At 45.7% G+C, this 5,522-nt stretch overlaps 1 annotated feature.

The window, feature by feature from the left end:
* Positions 218-717: an enhancer, noted in NCBI's record as "H3K4me1 hESC enhancer chr15:101209681-101210180 (GRCh37/hg19 assembly coordinates)". NCBI's record gives its function as "activates a minimal SCP1, AML or CMV promoter by ChIP-STARR-seq in naive H9 embryonic stem cells {active_cell/tissue: H9 hESC(naive)}" and the evidence as "EXISTENCE:reporter gene assay evidence [ECO:0000049][PMID:30033119]".

Genomic DNA, 5,522 nt, shown 5'->3' on the forward strand with positions numbered 1-5,522 from the left:
TAACAACCAGCAAGCTTGAGGTATGTTCAAGTTCAGACAGAGAGTGATGTGGCGATGACTGGAAACCCATGCCCAGCTCTGAAGGGGTTTCGCCTGCACGTGGGCTTCAAACGGGGCTGTCCTCCCAGGGGCGGCTGCTGGAGCACCGAGGGATGGACAGCACTCCCAGCGCGGGAGCAGCAGCCGGTTCACCCCTGCGGGGCTAGGAGCTTTCTGCAAGAGATGGCTCGGCTCAGCTGACTCCTGGCAGGAATTTGCCTGCCTTCCGAGGGTGGGTCCAGCCCCCACCACCATCACAGGAGTCTGGAGAGCGGGAGAAGACCTGATTGCTTCCCCCTGGGTAAAGTGAGCCCTGAATGAGGCAGGCTTTTGTAGATGGATCTATACGTTTGACGGCCTCATTCTCTGAATCCTGAATCAAGACTTAGATCTCTCAATGAGCTTTCATGCTGTTTGGAGGTTTAGGAGGCAGCTTGGGAGAGGGTATTTTGTAGCTGAAATGTGAATTTCTGGGACATTTTGACAGCTTATGAGGACTGAGGTTTAGACACTTGGAATTGTAACTTTCCTGGAGATTCCAGGGTGTTTGGTCGGCGTATTGGTTTGTGAGGGCTGTTTCAGAGTGCCACAGCCTGGGGACTTAAACAGCAGAAATGGATCGTCTCTCAGTTCTGGAGGCTGAAAGACAAAAATCAAGGTGCTGGCAGGGTGGGGTCCTACTGAGGGCTGGGAGGGAAACTCTGCTCCAGGCCTCTCTCTAGCTTCGGGGAGGGTTTCTGGAGATCTTTGGCATCCCTTGGCTTGTTGAAAACTCATCCTGATCTGTGCCTTCATGTCCATGTGGCAGTCTCCCCGTGTGTGTCTCTCTCTGTCCACGTCTCTCCTTTTTATTTTATTTATTTATTTATTTATTTATTTATTTATTTATTTATTTATTTTTCTGAGACGGAGTTTCACTCTGTCGCCCAGGATGGAGTGCAATGGCAAGATCTCGGCTCACTGCAAGCTCCGCCTCCCAGGTTCATGCCATTCTCCTGCCTCAGCCTCCTGAGTAGCTGGGACCAGAGGCGCCCGCCACCACGCCCGGCTAACTTTTTGTATTTTTAGTAGAGACAGGGTTTCACCAAGTTAGCCAGCATGGTCTCAATCTCCTGACCTTGTGATCTGCCTGCCTCAGCCTCCCAAAATGCTGGGATTACAGGCGTGAGCCACTGCGCCTGGCCCTCATCTCCTTTTTATAAGGACACCAGTCTCATTAGATTAGGGCCCACCCTAATGACCTCATCTTAACTTGGTGCAGCCTGCAAAGACCCTATTTATTAGTAAATTGCAGTCTGCAGCGCTCGGGGTTAGGATTCAACACATGAATTTTAGTTGGGAACACAATTCCACCCATCAGAGTCACCATATTTGGCTCCACTTAGCCATGGCCTGCTTGGTGCAGTCATCCTCCACCTGCTCATAGCACACTTGATTAAGACTGGAAGGATGAGGGCTCACTTTTCAAAGCGTGCTCATTGAAGTGGCAGGAGGCTGTGAATCACAGGGACCCCGTGCTGGGAGCACTGGGTATACGTGGAAGTCGCTTCAGGGAGAGAAGAGGAGATGGGGAGAGTTGGGATGTTTACACTATTGCCTGGGAAGTGATGGGCTCTGCTCCCGGGCTGCCTCACCCCAGCCCTGTTAATACATTGGCTGTTCAGGACCCTTTCCCCAGAGCCCCAGGCTGGGTTCTGGCACGAAGGCCCACACCCACAATGGAAAGGCTCGAGGTATTGGAAAGTAAGTCCCCCCGCCCCCACAAGACTTCCTGAGAGCTGCCAGGTGAGCATGGCAGGAGGTGACCACACTGTTTTAATATCTGGAAGTCACCAGAAAGGGGCGAGCCCTGCCGATGGTTCTGTTGTTAAAGGGGCCATTTCCAGCGCAGCTTTGGGGGCACAGGTAGAAACAAACGTTTCATGAATGAACCTCCACCCGGCGATTGCTCTTCAACGTGGAAATGGCAGCACTGCGTAGCAGGGAGGGGAACTCTGCACTGGGGGTCTACTGGGGAGAACTTAAGGAAAGCTCATTTGCATCTTGAGTTAAAGCACCCTGGGCGCTGTGCCTCTGTCTGGGAATCTCTGTGGGTGTGTGGAATTAGATGCACCTGCGTTCAAGTCCTGACTGCACACCTCTGTGCTGCGTGGTGATGGGTAAGCCACCTCACTCCCAGAGACTCAGTTCCCACACAGGGACAGTGGGTACAGGGCTCCTGTGAAGAGGACCCAGATGATGGGTGTCAACAGGCACTGGCAAATGACAGCCGGCAAGTTAAGCAAGCTGCGTCCAGCCACATCGCCCAGCCTCCTCCTTGCTGGGGTCATTTCCCCCACCCGACCTCATTGCAGAATCCATACTTTTACAGATGGAGGCAAAAAGCACTCCCTAAAATACTCATGAGTCTAATTCCTGTGACTCTAACCCAAAATACTCCTGACTTTAAACCAAGACTACCCCAGTTTTTTCCTTTTTAAGAGGAATTACCCAATAGAGCTTGGAATTTGTTTATTAGTGGTTATTTGTGCACATTTGCAAAAGGGGGAGACCAGTTGGAGACCACAGTATTTATGAAAAGAAAAAAAGCTCGTGTCCTGTTTTCATGTGTGTGTGTGTTTTAATGAGTCATTCGCTACAGCGTGATCTGCTGGGCACGGGGATTACCGAATATTCTAGAGTCTAAGGCTCTGGATTTTACCGTTATTGTAAGAGGCACCATCAGAGCAGTAACAGCTTTTCAGAAGGGAAAAATGCCACCATCTTAACATACGCGTCCATTGTAAAAGTCATCATGAATTCAGAAATGTTAAAAAGAGGGGAAATGTCAACCAGGAAATATGGTGTGTGAATGCTGACCATCCGGCAGAGGGCAGGACAGCCACAGCCTCAGTAGAGGGTGGGACACAGAGCAGGGGACAGTCTGGGGGTTGCTGTTGAGTGTGGGCTTGGAAAGGCAGCTCTGTGTGGGTGGGAGCCTCATATGCGTGAGATCGGCCCAAATGTGCCCCCTCAGAAAAGCACAGGTTGTACTTTTCATCTCCACGTCCCGCTTAAGGAACCCATTTTTGGACTTTCTGTTTTTAATTGTAGATTGATAAATTATAGTTGTATATGTTTATGGAGTACAAAGAGTTGTTTTCATCCATGAATACAATGTGAAAAAATTAAATCAAGCTAATTAACATATCACCTCAAAACTTTTCATTTTTTTGTGGTGAGAACATTTGAAGTTTACTCTTAGTGATGTTAAAATGTACTATACATTATTATTTACTATTTTATTATGATGTGCACTATATCTCCAAGGAAAATAAAATTCCTCCTCCTTTTAATTGAGGCTCTGTACCCTTTGACCATTGCCTTTCAATTTTCCCTAACCCCTGGCTCTAGTAACTGCCATTCTATCCTCTGCTCCCTTCCCTCCCTCCTTCCCCTCTCCCTTTCCCTTTTTTTTTTTTTTTTTTTTTTTTTTTTTTTTTTTTTTTTTGAGATAAGGTCTCACTCTGTCACCCAGGCTAGAGTGCAGTGGCGTGACCCTGGCTCACTGCAGTTTCGACCTTTCAGGCTCAAGCAATCCTCCCGACTCAGCCTCCGGAGTAGCTGGGCCCACAGGCCTGTGCCACCACACCTGGCTATTTTTTTTTTTATCTTTTGTTGAGATGGGGGTATCACTATGTTGCCAGGGATGGTCTCTAACTCTCCAGCGTTCCTCCCATCTCAGCCTCTCAAAGTACTGAGATTACAGGCATCAGCCACCAGGCCCAGCCATCTGCTTGTTTTCGATTCCACATGTAAGTGAGAACATGTGGTATTTGTCTTCCTGTGCCTGGCTTATTTCACTTAGCATAATGTTCTTCAATTCCATCCGTGTGGCTGCAAATGGCAGAATTTCCTTCTTTTTAAAGCTAATAGTACTCCATTGTATATATGTACCACATTTCCCTTATCCGTTCATCTGTTGATGGACGCTTAGGTTGATACTATATCTTGGCTATTGTGAATAATGCCACAGTGAACATGGGAGTGCAGATACCTCTTTCACATACTGATCTCAAATGTTTTGGCTAAATCACCAGAAGGGTGATTGCTGGATCTATGGTAGTTCTATTTTTATTTTTTTGAGGAACCTCTATAGAGTTTTCCACAATGGCTGTACTAATTTACCAACAGTGTTCAAGCGTTTCCTTTGCTTCATATATATATTTTTAATTAGGTCTTGAGGCTTACTTTTGTTTTTTCAGACTGAGATGAGGTTTTGAATCCATTTTTTGGTATGTGAAAGTTTTTTTTATATATACTTTAAGTTCTAGGGTACATGTGCACAACGTGCAGGTTTGTTACATAGGTATACATGTGCCATGTTGGTTTGCTGCACCCATTAACTTGTCATTTACATTAGGTATATCTCCTAATGCTATCCCTTCCCCCACCACAGGCCCCAGTGTGTGATGTTCCCCGCCCCATGTCCACGTGTTCTCATTGTTCAATTCCCACCTATGAGTGAGAACATGCAGTGTTTGGTTTTCTGTCCTTGTGATAGTTTGCTGAGAATGATAGTTTCCAGCTTCATCCATGTCTCTGCAAAGGATATGAACTCATCTTTTTTATGGCTGCATAGTATTCCTTGGTGTATATATGCCACATTTTCTTAAACCAGTCTATCATTAATGAACATTTGAGTTGGTTCCAAGACTTTGCTATTGTGAATAGTGCCACAATAAACATATGTGTGCATGTGTCTTTATAGTAGCATGATTTATAATCCTTTGGGTGTATACCCAGTAATGGGATCACTGGGTCAAATGGTATTTCCAGTTCTAGATCCCTGAGGAATCGCCACACTGACTTCCACAATGGTTGAACTAGTTTACAGTCCCACCAACAGTGTAAAAGTGTTCCTGTTTCTCCACATCCTCTCCAGCACCTGTTGTTTCCTGACTTTTTAATGATTGCCATTCTAACTGGTGTGAGATGGTATCTCACTGTGGTTTTGATTTGCATTTCTCTGATGGCCAGTGATGATGAGCATTTTTTCATGTGTCTGTTGGCTGCATAAATGTCTTCTTTTGAGAAGTGTCTGTTCATATCCTTTGCCCACTTTTTGATGAGGTTGTTTGTTTTTTTCTTGTAAATTTGTTTAAGTTCTTTGTAGATTCTGGATATTACCCCTTTATCAGATGGGTAGATTACAAAAATTTTCTCCCATTCTGTAGGTTGCCTGTTCACTCTGATGGTAGTTTCTTTTGCTGTGCAGAAGCTCTTTAGTTTAATTAGATCCCATTTGTCAATTTTGGCTTTTGTTGCCATTGCTTTTGGTGTTTTAGTCATGAAGTCCTTGCCCATGCCTATGTCCTGAATGCTATTGCCTAGGTTTTCTTCTAGGGTTTTTATGGTTTTAGGTCTAACATTTAAGTCTTTAATCCATCTTGAATTAATTTTTGTATAAGGTGTAAGGAAGGGGTCCAGTTTTGGCTTTCTAC

The sequence above is a fragment of the Homo sapiens genome, chromosome 15 (assembly GCF_000001405.40).
Source record: "Homo sapiens chromosome 15, GRCh38.p14 Primary Assembly".
Classification (NCBI taxonomy): Eukaryota; Metazoa; Chordata; class Mammalia; order Primates; family Hominidae; genus Homo; species Homo sapiens.